The sequence below is a fragment of the Homo sapiens genome, chromosome 22 (assembly GCF_000001405.40).
Source record: "Homo sapiens chromosome 22, GRCh38.p14 Primary Assembly".
Classification (NCBI taxonomy): domain Eukaryota; kingdom Metazoa; phylum Chordata; class Mammalia; order Primates; family Hominidae; genus Homo; species Homo sapiens.
This window is the reverse complement of record NC_000022.11, coordinates 41332948-41357039: the sequence shown is the minus strand read 5'-3', so window position 1 is coordinate 41357039 and position 24092 is coordinate 41332948. Positions and strand designations below refer to the sequence as shown.

The 24092-nt window shown below is 56.6% G+C and overlaps 1 protein-coding gene across 2 annotated transcripts in view; it reads right to left on the bottom strand.

Annotated features, from left to right (window-relative positions):
* Window positions 1-24092, bottom strand: part of ZC3H7B (zinc finger CCCH-type containing 7B) — a 58623-nt gene that overhangs the window by 3108 nt on the left and 31423 nt on the right. The window contains exons 8-22 of one of the 2 annotated variants that reach the window (NM_017590.6): window positions 18685-18727; window positions 17849-18039; window positions 16903-17224; window positions 15894-15952; window positions 14412-14511; window positions 13464-13625; window positions 10832-11037; window positions 8873-8973; window positions 7739-7920; window positions 5394-5479; window positions 1438-1571; window positions 1178-1283; window positions 978-1086; window positions 564-697; window positions 232-395 (exon numbers count right to left, since the gene is read on the bottom strand). In NM_017590.6, the coding sequence (NP_060060.3) occupies window positions 232-395; window positions 564-697; window positions 978-1086; window positions 1178-1283; window positions 1438-1571; window positions 5394-5479; window positions 7739-7920; window positions 8873-8973; window positions 10832-11037; window positions 13464-13625; window positions 14412-14511; window positions 15894-15952; window positions 16903-17224; window positions 17849-18039; window positions 18685-18727 (2099 nt within the window). Of the gene's footprint in view, window positions 1-231; window positions 396-563; window positions 698-977; window positions 1087-1177; window positions 1284-1437; window positions 1572-5393; window positions 5480-7738; window positions 7921-8872; window positions 8974-10831; window positions 11038-13463; window positions 13626-14411; window positions 14512-15893; window positions 15953-16902; window positions 17225-17848; window positions 18040-18684; window positions 18728-24092 lie in introns of those variants that run through there. The other variant, XR_007067960.1, reaches the window with a different exon arrangement.

Genomic DNA, 24092 nt, shown 5'->3' with positions numbered 1-24092 from the left:
GTGTCCTGACCCTCTCTGGGATCTGCCCCACAGCTGCAAATTAAAGGTCTAGATAGGTCTGAGCCCAGCCCTCCCATCCACCCTTCCCCACCACCCCCATGGCTGCAGTCACAGCCAAGCCTCACCACTCCCTGCACACCACCTCCAGGCCAAGAGGAGCCAGAGCTGGCCACGGACTCCATCTCCTCGGGCCACCCCATGTCCCGCCAGGCCCTGCCCTCCCAGGAGCACCTGTCGCAGAGCCGGAACTCGCCCATGGGGAAGCGGAAGGCCCAGCCGCTGGCGTCACTGTCGGACGTGAAGACCTTCTCCTTGTGCTTCTCGGACTGGATGTGCTGCTGCCACTGCTTCTTGCTGTTGCTGTTCTTGCCGCAGAGCCAGCAGTGGTAGCCCATCTGGGAGCACAGCCATCATGGGTGCCTGCTCCCCCACACCTCTGCCCGGACCACCCACCTCGGAGAGGCTGAGCGCTGGCCGGCTGGGCCCTCCAGGCTGCCCCTCCCAGGTGAGGCTCAGACCACAGCCCCGACCGCAGCCCCGAGCATGCAGGGCGGAGGCGTTACCATGATGTCCGCGTAGTCCGTGGGCATCTGGATCTGCTTCTCCCCTTCCCGAGAACTGATGGGGGTCCCTTCTCCAGGCTTTCCTGGGTTGTGTTTTTTCAGCCACATGTCATAGGTCTGCTGCATGTCCAGGACTGGGCAGGGGACAGGGACAGGGCACCTGCTGAGGGGCTTCTCCATCCATTCTGCCCCATGGTCCCCACTTGATTTGGGAGCCGTGGGCGTCCCAAGTCCTGCTGATAGGCCGCTCAGCCTCAGGGCCTGGCCTCAGAGAGGGCCCGGCATGGGGCAGGTGGAGAAGGGCCCAGGTAGCAAAGGGGTGCAGTGGACGCTCTTGGGCCCGCTGGTGAATTGAGACATTCAGCACTGAAGAGACACCGGGGGAGGGCCCGCCCGCCCCGTCTGCCCACTCACTCTTGTTCTCCTTCATGAAGGTCCACATGTCCCTCTCCTCCGGGCTGTGTGCGAAGGAGCAGTTCCCCACATATTGGCACTTGCGGCCGTTCTGTGCATGGATGCAGAGCTGTGGGGTGGGCGTGGGGAGATCCTCTGAGTCCCGCTGGAAAGCATCGCTGCCTCCTGGGGGACCCCCAGCCCCCCATCCCAGCGCTCACATCGTATTGCTGTGGGAAGTTACGAATGGATGGCAGTGGCCTCACTGACACCCATTTCCTCTTGGCCTTGGACATCACCAGAAGGACCCGCCGCTCCTTGGTCCAGCTGCAGGACAGAGCAGGGTTGGGGAGAGGTCAGGGCACAGCCTGTGTGCTGTGTGACCTCTGTGGAGAGCCCTGGCCTCTCTCAGTTGGCCTCCACACCTGTGGTGGTAGGGTGGCCCCATCCCACCTGAGCCCCCACCTGGCATCCCACTCACCAGTGCCGGGCCTTGGCACTACAGTACTTGAGGTCCTTGTCAGGCTCCACCACCTGCCCGTTTCTCCAGCACTGGCCACATACAAACTTCATCTGCAGGTCAAAGGTGCTGGGCCCATGTGTCCTCGGAGCACCCTGTGGGGGGATGGGGAGGGGGGTTGGTGAAGCTGCAGGCACCAGGCCTGAGGCCCTGGAGTCTCCACACAGGTGTCCTCTGGGAGAGCCTTGGAATAAGCTGGTCTGCTCCCAGGTCTTCCTGGCAGGCAGTGACCTCCCAACTGCAGGCCCAAGGGCTTCCCAGGAGAGCCAGGCCTGGAACGGGGCTCCTCTTTCCACCCTCTGTGGCTGGTCCCTGCCTCGCCCAACTCCCTGGGAGGCCTGCTTTGTGGATGCTGCATTTCCCATGGCAAAGCTCCGTTCCGCCACACCTCCCTGCGTTTGTACAGGCTGTTCCCGCTGCCCTTCCTCCACTCTTCATCCAGCCTGTTCTAGAAACTATCCTTCAAAACTCAGCTCAAGCGCATCTCCTGTGGGAAGCCTGCCCCGGAGCTCTCCTAAGCTGCAGCTGTCCATTCAGTGAGCTCCCACAGTCTCTAAACTGCTCCTGTTGACCGACTCACCCGTCTATGAGTGCCGAACCTGTAGAGCGGGGGGTCCAGGAGATGGGAAGCCACCCCGGCAGGGGTAGGGTGGTGGTGGCAGGAGTCAGCCTTGGGCGGTGGGACAGGCGTCTGAGTGGCCCTGGTCTCTGGCCCTCCCTCCAGGGCAAGGCCTTGCTGGTCTCTAAGGCCCCACCCACCACGTTCCTTCTCTGTCCTACGCCCCAGCCTTTGGCCTGCTCTTCTGTACCCCGGGACAGGGTTGGGGGCCAGAGGTAGGAAAAATGCTCACTCTGCCTTGTCTCCTGCCACCTTGAACCCCCTCAGCTGGCTACATTGGCCAGCCTGCTGTTCTGTGAATGCACCAGCTGTCCCCTCTCCCTCATATAACCTCAAGCCTCCCCGTCTTCCCAGGAGCCTCGAGTGCAGGGTCACCCCTTGCTCTTCCAGGCTGCTGGGCATGATCCTCCTGCCATAGGAACTCCCCCACAGAAGCTGTGGCCTACTCCCCACCGTGTCCCCAGCATTGCCCTGCCCAGGGCCTGCCCTGGAGCAGGAAGGAGCTGTCCTCATTGCTGACTGACCCCTGGCCTGGTGCTGGACAACTCGTGGGCTGCTCAGCCCCAGAATAACACACGTGTGACCCTGATGATAAGGTGAGGTCATGCCTTTACGCGTGGGACGGCCTGCACTGGAGCAGGCAACAAGTGGACCCATGTGGCTACTGACTTCTGGGTGTTCCCCTCCATTCTCACAAGAAGCGTGAGAGGAAGGCATTATTACCATTTCTTGGGCGAGATAAAGGGGGCACCGAGGGTATGGTGGCTTAGCCACTGCACTAATGACAGCCACTGCAGTCCTGAGCTCCTCCCTTAGAGCCAGACCCCATGCCCACGTTGATGACTGCATAGTCTCACCAGCTCCTTGCCATAGCAGGTGGCAAGAGGGGTCTCACTATGTTGCCCAGGCTGATCTCAAACTCCTGGCCTCAAGGGATCCTTCTGCCACAGCCTCCTGAGTAGCTGGGCTACAGGTGAGCTACCACACCCAGCTAGTGTTCTCTCTTTCAAAGGTCCCATAAGCCCCTCACTCCTTCCCTGCCAGGCTCCTGGCCAGAAGGAAAAAGAAACAGATGGGGAGGGGAAAAGAGGACTGCACAGGAGACTGATGGAGGGCAGCAGGGACCAGGAAGAGGGGAGAAAAAGAGAAGAGGACCAGGAACAAAGAAGTCAGGGAGCAAGGGAATGCTCGAGGTGGTGGGCAGCCCTGCCAGCCAGCCTGGCCCAGGGACCCCCCGGCAGCCTGCCCTGCTCCCTGCCACACCCTGGTCAGCCTCTTGAAGGGTCCAGGGGCCCAGCCTTCCCCCAAGTTAATCAGCAGGTGGCCTCATGTGGATGAAAGGGTCAGTGCTCATGCCTGGATGGCACAGAGGCCTCATCTCACACTTACTGTCTCCTGGGCGCTGTGCCCACCCCTCTGAGCCCGAGGGTCCTCCACTGTCATCTACAGTTACAGTGATCCCACCACCTGGGGACGATGTGAGCACAGGGCAGCTTAGGTTGGCTCCTGTGAGCCTCACACCCACCCCAGGAGATACGAGGGCCAGGGTTCTGATCCCCGCCTGGGGGTGATGGACAGGAATGCCGCAGGTGGGGAGGGAGAAGAGCGAGCCCCGGACAGGACGTCAGAGAACCTGGGAATTGCCCCACTCAGTGTGCCCCTGGGCAAGTCACTAACAATCTCTCAGCCTCAGCTTCCCCATCTGCAAATGCCACAATCCCATGCTCTCTTCAGGACCATGGCGAAGATCAGGAGGGATGGGAGGGGATACCACAATCAGTGGTGTCAGTCCGAGCAGTACTGGGATATTTACAAGGTCTCAACGTATTTCTCCTGAAGACCTTTTTTTCTTCTTTTTTTTTTTTGAGATGGAGTCTCACTCTGTCACCCAGGCTGGAGGTCAATGGCACAATCTCAACTCACTGCAACCTCTGCCTCCTGGGTTCAAGTAATTCTCCTGCCTCAGCTTCTCAAGTAGCTGGAATTGCAGGTGCCCGCCACCATGCCCGGCTAATTTTTTTGTATTTTTAGTAGAGACGGGGTTTCGTCATGTTTGCCAGGCTGGTCTCAAACTCCTGACCTCAGGTGATCCGCTCACCTCAGCCTCCCAAAGTGCTGGGATTACAGGCGTCAGCCACCACGCCAGGCCTCCTGAAGACTTTTTATTTATTTATTTATTTTTTGAGACGGAGTCTCACACTGTCGCCCTAGCTGGAGTGCAACAGCGTGATCTCAGCTCACTGCAACCTCCACCTCCCGGGTTCACACGATTCTCCTGCCTCAGCCTCCCGAGTAGCTGGGACTACAGGCGCCCGCCACCACGCCCAGCTAATTTTTTGTATTTTTAGTACAGATGGGGTTTCACTATGTTGGACACGCTGGTCTCGAACTCCTGACCTCGTGACCCGCCCGCCTCAGTCTCCCAAAGGCTGGTGGGATTACAGGGGTGAGCCACTGCGCCGGGCCTCTGAAGACCTTTATTAATTACAAACTATAGAAATGATCCCTGAAAGTATAGTCTTAATTACAAAGAGGAAAGCTCTAATTTTACAATAGAGAAATGTTTACAATGGAGGCACCTTGAATCAAGTTATGAAAGTTTAATTAGATTGTCACCAGTGAAGGGACACACTGAGATGACGCATCCCCTGATGTGTGAGCTGAGAACACGACATCACCTCTGTGGAATGAGGAAACTCACACGAGCCCAGAGGGATGGACCTTTTACAAAACATCTGGCTCTTCAAAAACCTCAATGCAACACAAGGCAAAGACTAAAGAACCGTTTCTTCATCAAGGGAGATGAAAAAGAGACACGACAAGGCTCATGCCTGTAATCGCTGCACTTTGGGAGGCCAAGGTGGGAGGATTGCTTGAGCCCAGGAGTTTCAGATAAGCCTGGGCAAGATGGCAAGCCCCACATCCCCAGACCCACGGTCTTAAAAAATAGACAAATCAGCCAGGTGTGGTGGTGCATGCCTGTAATCCCAGCTACTCAGGAGGCTGAGGCAGGAGGATCACCTGAGACCAGGAGGTGGAAGCTGCAGTGGGCCATGATCATACCACTGCACTCCAGGCTGGGTGACAGAGCAAGACCCTGTCTCAAAATAAAATAAAATAAAATAAAATAAAATGAGACACAACAGCTGAATGTGTACATTATCCAAGTTACTTTCATAACTTATTCGAGGTGCCTCCATTGTAAACATTTCTCTATTGTAAAATTAGAGCCTTCCTGTTTGTAATTTGGGGACAATTCACAAAATCTGAATAATGGCATAGTATCAGAAGGCCTTACCATGCTGCTGCTGGCCTTCCCCGCATGCGCCTCCATCTGCTGCCAGTACTTCTTAGACTCCTGAACGATGTCTTCGTGGGTCATGCCTGGGGAGGGTGGGGGCAGACACAGGCATCTTTCAAGGTGCTCAGCAAGGAGGGAGGCAGGGGGTCCACGAGGTGCCAGGGACCCCCGAGGCCCAGCTGGAGGAGCCCTATTCTCAGCCCAGCCACAGTAAGACATGGGGTACAAGGGAACCACTTTGTCCATCTGCAAAATGGGAACAAAGACCTGCTCCGAGCCTCACTGGAAGTGAAAGAATTAAATGCAGCCAAGAGTGGGAAAATGCAGTAGAAAGATATTGGCTCTGTACTGTGGTAGGGAGTCCTCTGCTCCCATGCCAGTGACCCTGTCTCTTGGGCCGGTGACTCAGCACCCTTCCCTGACCCCCATCTCCCTCAACAGGGCTGCAAGCCTAGTGCCTGCTTGGCAGCCCCTGGCCTCACTGGCACTTAGGGCTCCATGCCTGCCCAGCCTGGCTCACCGGTTCACTGTGGTACCACGGCTCTTTACTGCCAGTCCCCAAAGGGCAAATACCCCAGCCTGGTGGCATGGACTCTCCAGTCTGTCTCCCCGCCAGCCTCAGACTGTTGCCACTGAGCCCGACCTTGGAGATCCAGCTCACAACTCTTCCATGAAGCCTGCCCTCTTTTCAGCGCTCTCCATCTTTCTCACGTCTTTCCCACAACAGATGTGGCCTTCCACCTTGACCTATGGCCCCTGCTCCACGACAGCTAATCATCATCGGTGCTTACTTGGGGCAAGACACTGCACTTGACATCCAGTTTCTTGCTGATGATCTGCAAGTATGTATCTACAGGCCAGACCTTTCCTGTGAACCTCCAGATCCCCACATCTGCTGCTTCCAACATCTCCATGTGAAGTCCACCAGGCAGCTCAGACTTCCCACGTCCCACACTGAGCCTGAGCTGCTCCTCTTACAGCCTGCCCCCTCTTAGAACATGGTAGCCCCATTCTTCCTGTTGCTCTGATCTTAGAGTCCACCTTGACGCTCTCCTTTGTCTCATACTTCATATCTGATCCATCAACACATCTTGTTGGCTCCACCCTCAAAATACACCTAGAATCTAACCACTTCTCCCACCTCCAGCATCACCACCCTGGCCCGAGCCACCCTCCCTGATCTCCCGGCTTCTGCCCTTGCTCCTCGATCTCCACCCAGCAGCCAGAGTGACTTTTGCAAAGTACTGATCAGATCATATAACTCCACCCACTTAAAACCCTCCTCCAGACACTGTAAATCATATTTAGAACAACCCCAGTTGTTCCTGTTTAAGGCCTAGAGACTCTTACATGCTCAGTCCCCTCCAACCTCTCAGGCCTCATTCCCCTTCTACTGACTAAGCTGCTCTACCCCCAGGGACCATCCTTTCTGTGCAGAGCTTGCTCCTGCCTCAGAGACTTCAGTCTGGTCCCTCTTCTGGAATGCACTCCCCGCCCTTCCCTGGTCAAAAGTCACTTCCTCAGAGAGGCCTTCCCAGCCATCTTACCTAAAATGCTCCCATCCCCGAGTCTGTCTCTGTCCCATTGCTCGGCTTTATCTTCCTCATAACACTGAGGCACGCCTGAAATGCTACCACTGCATTTCACCAACTCTAAGCAGACACTGAATGTTATATGTACCATATTTTAAATCCCCGCCCCACAAAATGCTGCTAATTAAATGATGACAGGCAGTAGGGGTAAATGTGCATCCTAGAATGGATGGAATACAGGATTTATTCACCTGTTGATATATTATCTGTCTGGCCCCCACTTATAAATGTAGGTTCTCTGAAAGTAAGGGCCTCGACTAGACCATGGCTGAATGCCCTGACAAGAGAAGGTGCTCAGTAAATCCCTGGTGGGTGAGTGGAGAACACCTTCCAATCCCCGCAGCAGCTCTGTGAGGAAGAGATGGGGCTCCCCATTTCCCAGATGAGCACTGGAGGCTCAGTGAGGAGCGGGGACTTGCTGCCGACCACCCAGGGAGCAAGCAGAGGTCCTGCTGCAGGAGCCCAGGTGCTCCTCTCCCCTCTCCGTGCTCCCTGGACGGTGCCTACGAAGGGAAAAACCCAGATCTCCGAGCCTGGAAGCGCCCTGAGAGCAGAGCTTCTCTCCTCTGTGGTGCCTGGGACACACAGAGAGCCCACCCCGCAGCCACCTCTCCTGAACTCTCCCGAAGCCCCCTCCAGCGACCATGGGGCCCTGGCCTGTCACCCCAGTCAGTCCTGCGCTCCCTTCACCTGCGCCGCCTACCCCTCACCTGAGTCACCTGCCCTCCACCTGCACCGCCTGCCCCTCACCTGAGTACTGCTGCAGCAGCCAGACCTTGAGCTCGATGAAGCTGTGGGCGAAGTGGCAGCTGTCCTCCCGCAGGCAGCCGTAGCGCACCTCATGGCGGCACACGTCGAACTGGAAGTGCTCCTGGAACTGGCGGATCTTGGAGTACTTGAGGGAGGTGGAGCGGACGATGTGCACCAGGCACCTGGCGGGCGGGCAGGCAGGAGGGGCACGATGCAGTCCGCAGCCCCTCTGACCTTCTCTCCTGGTAGGGCCACCTTCCCAGTGCCAGGCTCTCCCTGGGCACCCCCTGATCTATGTACCAAATCCAGGCCATGGATGACACAGGAGGGCAGAAACAGGGCTCCTATGCTCAGGCACCCCTGGGCCTGGGTCCCAGCGCTGCTTTACTCCTGTCCCTCCCCCAGGGTTCAAAGATGGAGCTGCCAACAAGCAAAGGGCACCGCCCTCAGGTTTCCAGCTTGATTCTGCAGAGCCGGTCCTGCATCCTGAGGAACACTAACCAAGCATGTCCTCTGGGCCAGGAGTCTTAATTACCCTCACTGCAGCCCCAGGAGCCTAGAGCATCATCAGCTTTACAGACGAGGAAACCCAGGCTTGGACGTAAGACAGGACTGGCCCAGGAATTGGACCCAGGTCTGTCTGACTGCAGGCCCTGGGCTCCATATGCACACCATGGCAGAACCAAGGGGAACAAGAGGGAGAAAGGGGTGGTGCCAGACCTGACCCAGGCCTCCCCTCACTGCCTGACACTGATGTCATGACATTGGAGGGTGCTGGGCTACAGTCAGAGACGAGGCCCCCCGCTTGCTGTCTGCTGAGTAAGCTGAGTAAGCTAAGTAAGCTACTTCCAAGCCTCAGCTTTTTGTTCTGTACAACAGGGCCAGTAACTCCTCCCTCACAGGATTGCTAAGATAATTAACATACCCAAGATGACGCTTGGAATATAGTAGATGTTCGACAAATGTGATTCTCATCCTTTCCAGGTGGAGGCTGGATTTGATTCCCAAATTCTGCCCCTTTCCTTGCACCCTACATCCACCCTTTCAGTTCAGCCTTTCCTCAGCCATCTGAGCTGCCTGAGGGGACTCTCCACTGGCCCCTAGGCCTCAGCCTGGGCTGAGGGTCCCACTCACTTGTTGTTGTAGAAGCTGTGCTTGGCAGCCAGGTTGGAGCAGACAGACGGAGAGTCCTTGGTGCCTTTGCTGATGATCCGGGGTTTACTGTCAAAGCAGATCTGCCCAGGGAGGGGAAGGGCTGGGACCTGGCATGGCCACCTGGGAAGGGGGTGAGCTGGGACCCCACACAGCTAGCTGGGGAAGGACAGCTGGGTCCCTGCAAGCCCTGCCCTGGGTCAGAGGAGTGAGGAAGGGAATCCCAGGGTCTGTGGTCTTGCCTCTCTGCTTCCAGCTCACAGGTGACCTGGGCTTTGGCTCCCTTCCTCACCCTCCTCCCTCCCTCTGATCCCACCACTCCCAATGCCTGAGGCAGGGGGTTACTTCATGTCAAAAAAAAGATAAAAAGGAATGGCAAGTTCTTTATGAACTACAGGCTGTCACCTGGCTATGAACTATGATTCCCAGGCCAATGCTCCCTGTGGGGGGTTGGCACAAGTCCCGACCTGGAAGAGCTAGGGGAAGGGCTGGTGGTGCCAGGGATGAGGGTTGGACTGAGCGGCACCAAACCCTGCCAGCAACCCGGACCTGGAGCCCTTGCTCTACGGACACAGACGTGCCACTGCCCCTGCCCTCAACATGCTATGACTGGGTGGGGAGACAGGGGCCAAGTTCACTCCGGAGGCCAAGCGGGGTCTTCAGGGACAGCTTTGGGGAGGGAATTAACAGCTCAGTGGGGCTGCTGGGATCAGAGTCCAGCTGAGAGGTTCCAAGCCCAGAAACACAGGACAGCGCCCTGTGGGGAGGGCAAACCCAGGCAGGGAAGCGCAATGGCCACTGAAGCCAGGAGGGCCGAGGAAAGGCATGTGGAGGAGGCCTGAGACGTGGGGCCGTGGACACGGCGCTTGGGACGGCTAAGCAGTGCCAAATACATCATACCCACAACAAGGGATGCGGGGGAAGCCCCGGACAGGCCCTCAATCTGCCTGTGTCCTGGGGGTTTGGCTGTGGGGACCACCAGCAGCAGCTGGTGCTGGGAGGTGGGCATGACTCCAGGGACAGGCTGCCTGGGTTTGAAGCTCAGTTCTGCACGGCACTGTCTGTGTGGCTGAGGGCAGTTCCTCGCTACCCTGAATCTCAGCCTCAACATCTGTAAAATGGGGATATCTGCCTGCCAGCACTGCCGTGACGATGGAAATGACATTTTTTTTTTTTTTTTTTTGGAATAGGGTCTCACTCTGTCACCCAGGCTGGAGTGCAGTGGTTCGATCTTGGCTCACTGCAGCCTCTACCTCCTGGACGCAAGCAATCAATCCTCCCACCTTAGCCTCCTGAGTAACTGGGACGGGAGGCGCATGCCACCAAGCCCAGCTAATTTTTAATTTTTTTTTGAGATGGAGTCTCTAGTGCAGTTGCGCGATCTCGGCTCACTGCAACCTTTGCCTCCCCAGTTCAAGTGATTCTCCTGCCTCAGCCTCCCAACTAGCTGGGACTACAGGCGTGCACCACAACGCCCAGCTAATTTTTGTATTTTTAGTAGAGACAGGGTTTCACCGTGTTGGCCAGGCTGGTCTCAAACTCCTGACCTCAATTGATTTGCCCGCCTCAGCCTCCCAAAGTGCTGGGATTACAGGCGTGAGCCACTGCATCAGGCTAGGAATGAGAAACGAAAACAACCACGTGCCAAGCCCTGCCTATGACTGGCTGTCAGAAAAGAGCAGGTGTGAGGGTTATGATTTTTCTTTCCAGCCTCAGTTTCTGCCTCTGCAAAATGAGGGGGCTGGATCAGATCTGGCCTCTAGCAAGATAGGATCCTAGGGCCCAGACTTACTGACCCTCCAGGACCTACTGGTTCTAAGACCAGGCCTCCACAGCCCACGGGTTCCAGGGCTGACTTCCTATGGTGGTCCGTGCCAGGGAGCATCCCCAGCCCTGTCTGTGCCATGGCCTATGGGGTGGCAGTGGGTGGGTGGGCAGTACCTCGCAGAGGAAGGTGAAGATGCCCTGGTGCTCCTTCAGGAGCTTGGCGATGGTGAGGCTGCCGCGCTTAACACCCCCCAGCGGGTCGAAGAGCAGGTCGCGGTTGAGGGTGCCCTTCCGCTCCTCGGTCCACACGTCGATCTCCTCCTGATGGTAGGCGAAGGTGCAGTTATCCCCGTACTTACAGTCCTGCTTGTTAATCATGTCTGCAAAGAGGCAACAGGACACACGTTCCGCCAGGCGGGGATAGCAGCCCGCAGCACCCTCGCCACCCCGCTGCGGCCTGTGGGGCTCTGGCCCCATGAGCCAGGCAGGGCTTCGCTCCACCCCAACACAGCTAGGTGAGCCAGGGGCTGCTGCACCCCCTGCCAGGACTTGGCAGAGCTGGGAAGTCCTTTCCAAATACCAGGCCCCCTTCTGCACCCCAACGCAGGTGAGGCAGGGTCTGCTGCACCCCCTGCTGCCAGGACTTGGCAGGGCTGAAAATTCCTTTCCAAATACAAGGCCCGCTTCTGCACTCCACACCTGCAGAGTACAGTAATCACTCCTACCCCACTCACCCCACAGGATTGCTTTTGTAGAAGTATACAAGTCTCTAAATAAATAGAAGGGATTTTTTTTTTGAGATGGAGTTTTGCTCTTGTTGCCCATGCTGGAGTGCAATGGCACGATTTCAGCTCACTGCAACCTCCGCCTCCTGGATTCAAGTGATTCTCCTGCCTCAGCCTCCCGAGTAGCTGGGATTACAGGCACCCGCCACCACGCCCGGCTAATTTTGTATTTTTAGTAAAGACAGGGTTTCTCCATGTTGGTCAGGCTGGTCTCAAACTCCCGACCTCAGGTGATCCACCCCCCTCGGCCTCCCAAAGTGCTGGGATTACAGGCATGAGCCACTGTGACTGGCAAATATAAGGGATTTAAAAATAATTATTCACCAGGAAAAGAACACTGCATGGTTAAGAGCATGTAATTTGGCGTCAGACAGAATTGGGCTAGGATTCCTCATTACTCCCCGAGCCTCAGCTGTCTTTGCTATGAATGGAGGAGACTGGGTTGTTGGAATCAAGTGAGATAATACATAAAGCTGGCGGGGGCGCTGGACATGGTGGCTCATGCCTGTAATCCTAGGACTTTGGGAGGCTGAGGCAGGAGAATTGCTTGAGGCAAGGACTTCAAGACCAGGCTGGGCAACAAATTAAGAACCCTATCTCTACAAAAAAGTTAAAAATTAAAGAATAAGCTGGGTGTGGTGGCATGTGCCTGTAGTCTCAGCTACTCAAGAGGCTGAGGCAAGAAGATGGCTTAAGCCCAGGAGGTTGAAGCTGCAGTGAGCTATAACAGCACCACTCACTCTGGCCTGGGCAACAGAGCAAGACCCTGTCTCATAAAACAAAAACAAACCAAAACAAAATTTCTGGGGGCTGGGCCATCTGGAGAGAGGAAAGGTGGCTCAGAACCTGGAGCTCTGCTGTTTCCTGGGGGTGGGACCTGTTTTTCTTTCTCCTCCTCCCACTCTAAGTCTGCCTTGTCCCATCTCTCTGCCAGGCTCTTGGCGCACAAGGACAAACAGGCCACAGACCTGGAGGAGTGGGGCAGATCCCTGGGTGGGAGTGGGGGTGATTGCAAGGGGAAGCACCGCAGAGAAGGGCTTCCCAAGATTCAGGCGGTGCTTGAAGGAGGAGCAGAGGGTGACTAGGCTCAAAGGGCACAGCGTGTGTGACGGAATCAGGGAGGGTCAGTGCATTTGGGGAATGGTTAGGGCAGAGGGGTGAGGGGGTGGATACGGGCACGTGTAGGTCTTGTTGCAGAATGTGGACTTCATCCCACTGGCCACGGGCAGTGGCTGATGGAGGCCTTTGACCCAAGAGTGACATGTCCTTAGACCAGCCTGGCTGCTGGGAGGACAAGGAGCAAGTTCAGGAGGCCTGGGCGGGCCACTGCTAGGGGCCAGGTTGGGGGAGAGGCAGAGCCGTGGGTGCACTCTCAAAGCCTCCGTTTCCTCCTCCAGAGCTGTGAGGCTGCATGCTGGTGAAATGAAAGGGCTACACTGGGAAGGCCTTAGCAATTCGTGACTATTCACATATCGCCGTACAGCGGGACCAAGGCGCTTGGCTGGGACCAGAAAGAAGCTAGTCAGGGACATGATGGATGTCCATTAAATACCAACCAGGCTGATGTGAGCCAGAAATGAGGACAGTGACAACAGAAGAGTGACAGAGAGCTCAAGTGGATGGAGCCCTCACCATGCGCCAGTCCTAAATGCTTCATGTGGCTGCTGGGCACACTGCCCCGCGGCCCCTCAGGGCCCTACAGTGGTAAGAGAAGCCAGCCCCCTATGAGTCATGTAGGCTCCTGACACTCCAGAGCACAGGCCAGTGACGGGCTCGGTCTCCAGCTGAATGTCCCAAATGTGTCCCACCTGCCTCTGGAAGCTGCTAAGGGAAGAAGACGCTCATTCTGATGTGGAATTCATCCTGCACGGGCCCCAGGAGCCTAGGCCGTGGCTTTCTCCTCCCGTGCAGCTGTGAGGCCCACCCCTGTTCTGTCTACCTGTGATGGGGAGTAGAGCAGCGGCTGGGGGTGGAGGGGCTGGGCCCCAGCTGTGCTGCCTGCCCCGCTGCAGCCCACCCACCTTTGCACAGGTAGTAGGAGCCCACGAAGCTGGTCTTAGTGGGCCGGGGCCGGATCCGCTTCCAGGTCTGGTCCTCCGAGCTCCGGAGCCGGCCGAGCAGGATGTCCCGCTTGCACTTGTGCTCAAGGCCCTCACGGTAGGTGTAGTCGCCAGCCCGGGGGCCTATGGGCAGGGTGGACACACATGATAATTCCGGAAGCAGAATTGAAGAGTGATGGCTGGCAGGCCCATGCGGTGGGTAGGAATCGGCCCCCTCCTTATATACCTACCTCCCCTCTGAGGGCCTCCTGCCAGCTCCCACCACACCCTTCCTGGCTACTTGCTCCCTGGAGACCGGGGGACTGTGCTGGGGGAAGCCCCTCGAAGGAGCCCATTCTTGGCACCCATCCCCCCTCCTTTTTTTTGAGACAGAGTCTCACTCAGTCACCCAGGCTGGAGTGCAGTAGTGTGATCCCAACTCACTGCAACCTCTGCCTTCCGGGTTCAAGCAATTCTCCTGCCTCAGCCTCCCGAGTAGCTGGGACTATAAGCGAGCACCACCAAGCCTGGCTACTTTTTGTATTTTTAGTAGAGACAGGATTTCACCATGTTGGCCAGGCTGATCTCAAACTCCTGACCTCAAGTGATCTGCCTGCCTCAGCCTCACAAAATGCTGGGATTACAGGTGTGAGCCACCGCATCCGGCCTACCCATCCTTTTTCTACCACCGTCCTCACTCTCTAGTGAGTCTGACCATGTTAGTGTTTCTCTAGAAAGGACTGTGAAGGTGGTGCCTGGCAGGGACAGACCCCAAACTCCTGCCCCTTTCCTTTTCTGCCCCAGAGGGGCTTCTGATTTCTGGCACTTATCTCCAACTGAGACACTGGGATTCTTTTGATCTGGGATCCCATGTTCCTGAGATTCCCAGTTCTCTGGGCAGAGGGGTGGAGTCTACAGGTGAAAGTTTACCTGTCTTGGGGTAGCAGAGCTGGCAGGCCTGCTTGAACTCGTGGGTGGCAGCCAAGGGGTTCTTGATGAGCAAGGCAGTGTTGGGCATGCAGGGCTCTGGCTGTGACAGGAGGAAGGAGGCCATTGTGGGCACTGGATGATGGCTGAGGCCACTGGGGCCAGCCAGGGCACCAGAAGTGGGGAGTGCTCTATGACCCCCCTATCCTACCCAAGAGCAAAACCACAGCCCAGGACCCTTCCTCTTCCTCCACCCTCCCAGCCAGGGGAGTTCTTTGTAATGTGGTCCAAGAGTCTAAAATATCAGGACCACCTTGGTCCCAGCATATGGTCCCAGGCTAGTGGGTGACCTGGGTCTTGGCTCTGAGCCTTTCTTTGAAGGCAAGTTGAATGTGAAAGCATAGAAATGGGAGGGGCCGTGATTGCAGCCTGTGCTCATGCCCTCCCCCAATCCCCCAAGTCATCAGCAGATGGGGAGGAAGGCAAGACTCAGAGAGGTTAGGGAAATTCCCCAGGACCACACAGCTAGTGTAGGTCAGAGTGTAGCAAGCTCTTTTTTTTTTTTTTTTGAGATGGAGTTTTGCTCTTGTTGCCCAGGCTAGAGTGCAATGGCGTGCTCTCAGCTCACCGCAACCTCCACCTCCCAGGTTCAAGCGATTCTCCTGCCTCAGCCTCCTGAGTACCTGGGATTACAGGTGTCCGCCACTACACCCAGCTAATTTTTGTATTTTTAATAGAGACGGGGTATCACCATGTTGGCCAGGCTGGTCTCGAACTCCTGACCTTGTGATCTGCACACCTCGGCCTCCCAAAGTGCTGGGATTATAGGCATGAGCCACCACGCCTGGCCCCTCATCAGATGTTCTTTTATTATTATTTTCTTTTTTTTGAGACGGAGTCTCGCTCTGTCGCCCAGGCTGGAATGCAGTGGCGCGATCTCGGCTCACTGCAAACTCTGCCTCCCGGGTTCATGCCATTCTTCTGCCTCAGCCTCGCGAGTAGCTGGGACTACAGGTGCCCACCACCACACCCGGCTAATTTTTTGTATTTTTAGTAGAGACGGGGTTTCACTGTGTTAGCCAGGATGGTCTCAATCTCCTGACCTTGTGATCCGCCCAACTCGGCCTCCCAAAGTGCTGGGATTACAGGCATGAGCCACCGCGCCCGGCCCAGATGCTCTTTTAAACTCAGGACCGGACTGAGTCTGGAGACCAGGGATGCTACTAACACTGGGGAAGTCACTTCACTCTCTGAGACTTGAATTCTTCCATCAGACAAGGGCAGTGGTGCCCTCTGTGTGCCCGCCCAGCATATGGCTTGGTGAGGAAGGGCACGAGGTGATCATCTTTGATCCATCCACTCTGGGAGTGCCCCGCCGTGGGGAATGCAGTGCCTTACCCCATGCAGAGGGCTCATTCCCCAACTCTAGAACCCACAACCCCCAGCAGGGAATGAGAGGCCTGGATCCCCACTCAAGTCACTCACCGAGGGGGCTGGTTTCTGAGCACCGCTAGGGGGACGGTGGTCCTGTGAGTTGGTCTCCTCTGGGCAGGGAGAAGACACAGGGGTCAGTGGCTCTGGCTCTGAGGCGTGAGGGGCCTTCCTAGGGCTTCCCCTTATGTATTGCTGACTCGGAGAAGCCCCCAGGCCACACATCCTCTCCTACTCCTGCTGAACCCCTGACTCTATCCTCTCCTCTCCACTCCCCAGGGGCAAAGACGCCTCCCAGCCTGAGTGTGTCCACTCTTTGCTTAAACTTGCCAGGGCTTCCCGCTGCCCGTAGGAGAAAGCCCAAGTTCCTTAGCTTGCTCCCAGGTCCTCGGAGACCAAGGCCCCCACCCCAGCTGCTCCGCTCATCAGCCAGCCCCGCGCCATGCCATGCCAGGCTAGTGCCCCTGCTTCCTCTGCCTGGCAGGTGAACTTTTCCTTCAAGACCCTGCCTAGTCATCACTTCCTCCAGGAAGCCTCCTTTGGCCCTGAGGCTGAGTGAAGTCCCCTCCGTGCCCCGACAGTCCCGTTAAGCCCTCTCAGTCGAGTGCCCTGGGCTGTGTCCGACTGCCGAAAGCTAGCCCCACCAGCGCCCAGACAAGACGGCTTCCTCCCTGGGTCCCTGGCACCCAGCCCAGAGTGGTGCAGTGGGAGGCCATGACCTTGTGCTCCGCCCCCAGCCTCAGGATCATCCCATGGGATCTCACCAGCCTGGTGACCCAGGGTCCCGGGAGGCTGGGCAGGGAGCACCAGACTGGGAGTCTAGAGGCCTGGACTGTCGCAGCTCTCCTCTGCTTGATCTTGAACAAGACACCCACCCCTCAGGCCCAGCCCCACACTGTGCTGAGCACTGCAGAGACGGCAACACACAGACATGGCCTGGGATTGCTAAGGAGTGATGGGGACAAACAGATCTGTAACTCAACTCCACTCTCCAGGCACCAAAGAGGCCACAGCACTGTGCAACCTGTCCAGGGAGGTTGAACGGGCCCACCCATGGCCTTACCCATGAAGGAGTCAGGTTTGTCCAGGGAGCCTCGTGTCGACCCAAAGCTGTCGAGTGCATCCAGCCGGGTCTCCGAGTACGGCAGCAGGTCCAGGGGGTCCAGCGTGGGGCCCGGGGGATCGAGGGCATCCAGCACAGAGGCGGCCAGCTTCTTGGAGGGGTCCATGACCAAGCCGAAGGAGGCGGGGGGCAGTGGGCTGGAGACAGGGATGGAGCCACCCACCACAGGTGGTAGCAGTGGGGTCCCGCCGGGGAACACGGGTATCAGCTGGGGCAACTCACTAGGCACGCCGCTGCCAGACAGGCCACCCTGGACCAGAGACTATGAGGCAGGGACAGAGGGAGGGGTCAGAGGAAAACAGGACTGCCCAGGCCTGGGCAGCATCAGGACTTGGGGAAGCAAGGAGACCTGCACCCTGTCGCCTGGCTTCATCCTGTCCCATGTGGGAGCAGGGCTCACTATGGTCCCTTCTGGCCAGACATTGTGCAGCTTCATTTCTTTTTTTTTTTTTGAGACGGAGTCTTGCTCCACTGCCCAGGCTGGAGTGCAGTGGTGTGATCTCGGCTCACTGCAACCTCCGCCTCCCGGGTTCAAGCGATTCTCCGGCCTCAGCCTCCTGAGGAGCTGAGACCACAGGCATGTGCCACCATGCCCGGCTAATTTTTGTATTTTTAGTAGAGAGGGGGTTTCACCACGTTGGCCAGGCTGGTCTCGAATTCCTGACCTCAAGTAATCCGCTGCCTTGGCCTCCCAAAGTATTGGGATTACAGGCGTGAGCCACCGTGCCCAGTGTGCAGCTTCATTTCTGTACCAAACAAGTCCCTACTGAGGCCTCCTCCTGAGACACATGACATGAGCATTGGGGCCTTCCCTCCACCCCTGGGACAATGGGGACACAGCGGGGAGAGGGGATCAGGGGAGCACAAGGAGGGTGGTGTGGCTCACCAGCGAGTCCAGGAGGGTGTCCAGCTCTGGGCCAAAGACATCCCCGTCTGAGAAGTCATCCAGGCTGTCGGTGCTGGGGAGGGTCCTGCTGCTGTCCAGGGGGGCCAGCAGGTCCAGAACGTGAGGGAACAGGGGCATCGTGGGCGTGGAGGGGAGAAGGGCTGGGGAGCCTCGAGGGTCCACGTAGCAGTCTGCGGATGGGGTGGGCAAGAGCCGAAGGGGAGCACTGCTTGGTGAGGGTGGAGGAGGCGTCCCGGGCCCCGTGATGCTCATCCAACACTTTCCCTTCTTCTTTCAGCTCTTGCCAGGAGCCCTGCCTTCCCCATCGGCTGATCCCACTGGCAGATGCTCAGGGGGTGGTCAAGGAAGGCCACAGCCCCAGAGCAGGGAGGGGCCCTCAGTCCTATGATGTCAATCCTTGGCCCAGGCTCAATGCCTAAATGTCCACCACTGCTGCCTCCTTCTTCTGGGGTAAGCAATGCCCTCTCCAGGGGACACTCTTAAAAGGCAACCTTTTCTGGAAGCCAATGAGGAAGAGGAGGGGAAAGGGCTTTGGAAGAGGTGGGGGTGTGCAGGCAGCCAGGAGTGAAGGCCATGGGACTGTTGCACCTAGCTAAGAGGCAGCACCCCTCTCTGCCAGACTAGAGATGCCCTCCCCTCCTTGAGTGGGTCTGTAGCTCTCAACCCACTGTTTTCTCCCATGCCTCAGGGAGTACCAGGGTGGGGAACCCCTCGGAGGCCCTCCCATCTACAGGGCTGGGATGGGGAGGGGGCTCGACTCCCCTGACCTCTCGGGGCCCCAATTTCCACTTGTTCCCTCGTATCGGGGACATTACCTGTTTCGATGTCATCTATGGACCCCAATCCATTAGAAGTTCCCTGTGGGGAGAGGGCCACAGTGGCGCTGTGGCTGGGAAGGCCCCGATCCCAGCACCCAGCACCAGCCCCTCCCCACGTGACTATGCTGTTGACCCAGCACCGAGGAGCACTTAGAGTGCCAGGGGAGATTAAAGCCCTCACATGCGGCCAGGCGTGGTGGCTTATGCCTATAATCCCAGCACTTGGGGAGGCTGAGGTGGGTGGATCACCTGAGGTCAGAAATTCAAGACCAGCATGGCCAACATGGTGAAACCTCATCTCTACTAAAAATACAAAAATTAGTCGGGCATGGTGGCAGGAGCCTGTAACCCCAGCTACTTGGGAGGCTGAGGCAGGAGAATGGTTTGAACCCAGGAGGTGGATGTTGCAGTGAGCCGAGATCATGCCACTATACTCCAGCCTGGGCAACAGAGCGAGACTCTACCTCAAAAAAAAAAAAAAAAAGCCCTCACACGTGCTGGGTCCTCACCCCTGTGGTGCCCAGCAAGGGGCTGGATGGGCCAGCAGGTGGGGGCATGGGCTCAGTGGATCCCCACAGCTGTCCCTCTAGGGAGGGGTGGTTGAGGGCAGGGAGAGAACCTCTGAGTCTTGGTTCCACCCACCACAGGGCAGGGTCCTCACCCCGGTGAAGGTGGCAAGGGTCTTAGCAAGCCTCCCCCCACAGCACCACAGATGGCCTGCAGTTCAAAGACAAAAGTGCCCCCTCCCTGAGTCCCCAGGCTCTCCTCTCCCACGGTAGCCCCAGGCCCCCCAGGAAGCAGAGAAGGGCATAAACCCAGGTGGGATCCCACTGCCTTCCTGCTGGAGGAAAGCTGGGCCTGAGCAGGCTGTACAACCTGGGCAAAGTTCCCCATCCACTCTGGGCCTGCTTCACTCACCGCTGGGGAAGGCTATCAGGATGAAATGACTTGCTATGTGTGAAGTGCTTAGAACGGGGCCTGGCACACAGGAAGTGCTTTGTGTTTTGGGTTTGTTTTTTTTTTTTGAGACAGAGTCTCACTCTGTTCCCTAAGCTGGAGTGCAGTGGCATGATCTTGGCTCACTGCAACCTCTACCTCCCGGGTTCAAGCAATTCTCCTGCCTCAGCCTCCCGAGTAGCTGGAATTACAGGCACCCGTCACCACGCCTGACTAACTTTTTTGTATTTTTATTTTGTATTTTTATTTATTCTTTTTTGAGATGGAGATTTGCTCTTGTTGCCCAGGCTGGAGTGCAATGGTGCGATCTTGGCTTACCGAAACCTCTGCCTCCCAGGTTCAAGCGATTCTCCTGCCTCAGCCTCCCAAGTAGCTGGGATTACAGGCATGCGCCACCATGCCTGGCTAATTTTTGTATTTTTAGTAGAGATGGGGTTTCTCCATGTTGGTCAGGCTGGTCTTGAATTCCGGACCTTAGGTGATCCACCTCCCTCAACCGCCCAAAGTGCTGGGATTACAGGCCTGAGCCACCACACCCAACTTTTTTTTTTTGAGATGGAGTCTCGTTTGGTCACCCAGGCTGCAGTGCAATGGTGTGATCTCAGCTCACTACAACCTCCGACTCCCACATTCAAGTGATTCTCTAATCTCGGCCTCCTGAGTAGCTGGGATTACAGAAGCATGCCACCATGCCCAGCTAATTTTTGAATATATATATATATTTTTTTTCTTTGAGATGGAGTCTCACTCTGTAGCCCAGGCTGGAGTGCAGTGGCACGATCTCAGCTCACTGTAAGCTCCGCCTCCTGGGTTCATGCCATTCTCCTGCCTCAGCCTCCAGACTAGCTGGGACTACAGGCACCCGCCACCACGCCTGGCTAATTTTTTGTATTTTTAGTAGAGATGGGGTTTCACCGTGTTAGCCAGGATGGTCTCGATATCCTGACCTCGTGATCCACCCGCCTCGGCCTCCCAGAGTGCTGGGATTATAGGTGTGAGCCACCGCGCCCAGCTAATTTTTGAATTTTTTAGTAGAGATGGGGTTTCACCATGTTAGCCAGGTTGATCTCAAACTCCTGACTTCAAATGATCCACCCGCCTTGGCCTCCCAATGTGCTGGGATTACTGGCGTGAGCCACCGTGCCCGGCCTGTGTTGATTAGATGCACAGTTTCTGGAAGTTGGGCTGGGAGAGCTGCTGTTTCGTTCAACAGTTCCCACACTCCAACCTCCAGGCTGTGGTGCATCCTTCCCTGTCCTGAACACCCTCCCCTTTTTCTCTGAGTCCTTCACAGTCCAGCTCAAGTCCTGCTTCCCTGGTGAGGCCCTGGGTGGCCCCACCCTTTCTGTGTCCCCACGGAGAGCCGGATGGAGGACCAGACTCCACCACTAGCCTTCCTTTCCCAGGACCAGCAGCCACAGGACCAGCAGCTAGACTCATCCAGCATCCTGCCTCACGCCAGCCCAGGCCAGCATCTCACACCCACTGTGGGGTTTAGCCCTCGGTCCAGGCGCCCTGCGAGGTATCATCCCACGGCATGGAAATGTCAGCCCAGAAAGCTGCTATGCACAGATCAGAGCAGGGCTGTCTGACCCAAGAGCCTGTCCTGACTCTGTCCCCTGGAACTGTACACTCCCCCATCCATACCTGCACCAACACCCTGCACCTCCTTCCCACACCTGAGCCTGCCATAGAGCACATGGCAAATGTGTGCACTTCAGTCTCCGGAGTGTCTGCCCACCATAGATTGGCTGCCAAACCAAGGCCGCCACGCTGGATCACAGAGCTGCTATCCTCATGGTAAGTACATAAAGTCTTTGAGGGAAAGAGAGGTACCAGATGAACATCTCTAGGGAAAGCGGTGATTCTCCCTGCTAGATCCTGCCCATGGCTCCCAGGCCACGCAGGACAAAGTCACCTTCTCAGCCCTCCTGCCCATGCCATCACCCCAGCCTGCCAGGCTCACTGTTCCTGCCCTTCTGCATGGCACTCCTTCTGGTGACATCTGTTTGGCAACAAAGGTCTATGGAGCTCTATCTCTTCTGCAGACGCCCTGCTGGGAGCTTTCACATTGACCCATTGTAATTCTATAACCCCCACAAAATGGCAGGTACCGGACCCCTGCAAAAGAGAAGGAAGCCAAGGCTCTGAGGGGTGGAGTGGCCTGCGTAGATAAGGAGCGTGCTCAGGATCTGATCCAAAGCACGTTCCACTGCAGAGCCCAGGCTATTCCGAGCCCCATAGGAGGAACTGGTCTTGTGATCTGGGGTGTCTGTCTCTTTTGCTGCTTAGCCTTTGTGCAGGCTGTGCTCCTGGTCATGAGTGCCATTTCCCCCTCTCCAGCTCTCCCTTCCTCTTAGTCTTGCTTCCCTGGCTCGCTGAAGCCCTTTCCAACCAAGGCTGCCTTGGGCTCTCTGTTCCTGGAACTCACAGCCCTCCTTGCATCTTGTTCCCCACGATGCCAGGGACAGCTCTTGCACAGACACTGTCTTGCAGGGCCTCTGCCTGGCTCCTAGGTCATAAGAAGCTCCCTGTGGGCACAGCCTGGTCCATCCCCACTTCCAGGTGCACATGTGAAATGACCAGCCGGCTGAATGAATATGGTGCTCATGGTGGAGAACCTACAGGGACCCCTGCAGCCTGCATTTACTTGTGTCTGTGCACAACTCACGGAAGGCCAGGGGCTCTGGCTGGGACACCACCCTGCCCTCATGTGTCCTAGGGCACTCCGTTTGTGCATGTGCACATGTGTGTGCTCACATGTGTGCTGTACCATGTTGGGCAAACTGAGTTCATGAGGCAGGGTCTGAACTGGTCCTCTCCACTGTGGGCTTCTTAGAGCCCTCCCTAACCATGCCCTCCTGACCTCTATGAATGTGCAGGAGGAGCCCAGCAAGATTGCAGGGATGGGTGAACAGCCTGGCAGGGACTGGGGGGGGCCTGGTGCCAGGTATGGCACCATCTGTGGTCATCTGGCTGCAGACTAAGCAAGGCTTTGCGGCCTTGGCCCTGGAGAGCTGGGCATTCAGCCCATATTTGCTGTGGCCCCCTGGCCGCAGTCATTCAATCATTCAACAAATATTTTTTGAGCATCTGCTGTGCCTGCCCAGCCCAGCTCCACTTGCTGTGATGAGACGCTACCTTGGTGCTCTATTCCCAGTGTCTGAACTGACACTGGGTACAAAGCAGTGCTCAATAAATACCTTCCGAATAAATGAATAGAATTAATGCTGCCTCCCCTCAATGCCTTCCCAATGCTAAGACTGAGCTTCTTATCAGGGGTCAAGCGGTCTGGCTTCTATCTCCTGTTCCAGGACCCCCAGCTCTGCCTTGGTGTTGGTTCCTCCCACACTCTGAGCTCCTCCAGGCCTCAGGGCCTTTGCACATACCTTCCACCTGGTCTGGAATGCTGTTTCACCTGCACACCCTGCCCCTAACTCTTCAACCTTCCGGTCTCAGCTTAAATGTCACTGAATCCTGTCTAAATCAGGGCTCCCAGTCTCAATGGCCCAGGTCTCCCCATACTCTGCCTTCACAGCCCTCATCACAGTTTGAAACCAGAAATGATCTGCCTAATGTCCTAATGTCCATCCTAGACTGTGAGCTCTTTGAGGGCAGGAAACAGATTTGTTTTGTTTATCACATACCCAACCCCAAGCTCAGTGCTTGGCCCATACTGGGTAAACTTAGACAAATCACCTTTCATTCATTTAATGTTTTCTCGTTGGAGCACCTGGTATGTGCCAGGCCTAATAATTTCTTTTATTTTTCAGATGGAGTCTCATTCTGTCTCTCAGGCTGGAGTGTAATGGCGCGATCTCGGCTCACTGCAAACTGTGCCTCCTGGGTTCAAGTGATTCTCCTGCCTCAGCCTCCCAAGTAGCTGGAACTACAGGCACATGCCACCATGCCCGGCTAATTTTTGTATTTTTGGCAGGGATGGGGTTTCATTATGTTGGCCAGGCTGGTCTTTAACTCCCGAAATTAAGTGATCACCCACCTCGGCCTCCCAAATTGCTGGGATTACAGGCATGAGCCACCATGCCTGACCTATAATTTCTGATTATAAACCATGAGTGCTACAAAGGCAGATCATCAACTGCCTACTTTGCAGGCTGGGAGGTCCCTGAGGGCAAGGACGCAGCTCTCTCAGGCCCAGGGCCGAGAGTGTTTTGTGGGCCTCCTTATGGAATGAATGAAAGAAAGTGCTGCAAAGCTCTGGAGGAGGGAGGCCTGCTGCTGCCTCGCTGTGTGACACTGGCCCCGTCCCCTCCCCACTCTGTGCCTCAGTTTCCCTTAATGTACAAGGTGGCAGGACCCCAGGCTCCATCAGTGCTCTTATAGCCCATCTCTCACTTTCCAGAAAGCCTCAAAGTCTACCTGAGCAGCGGGCAGGGGTCTCAGTCGTGTGCCAGGCCCTGCCTCACCCCCCTGGGATGAGCCAGGCC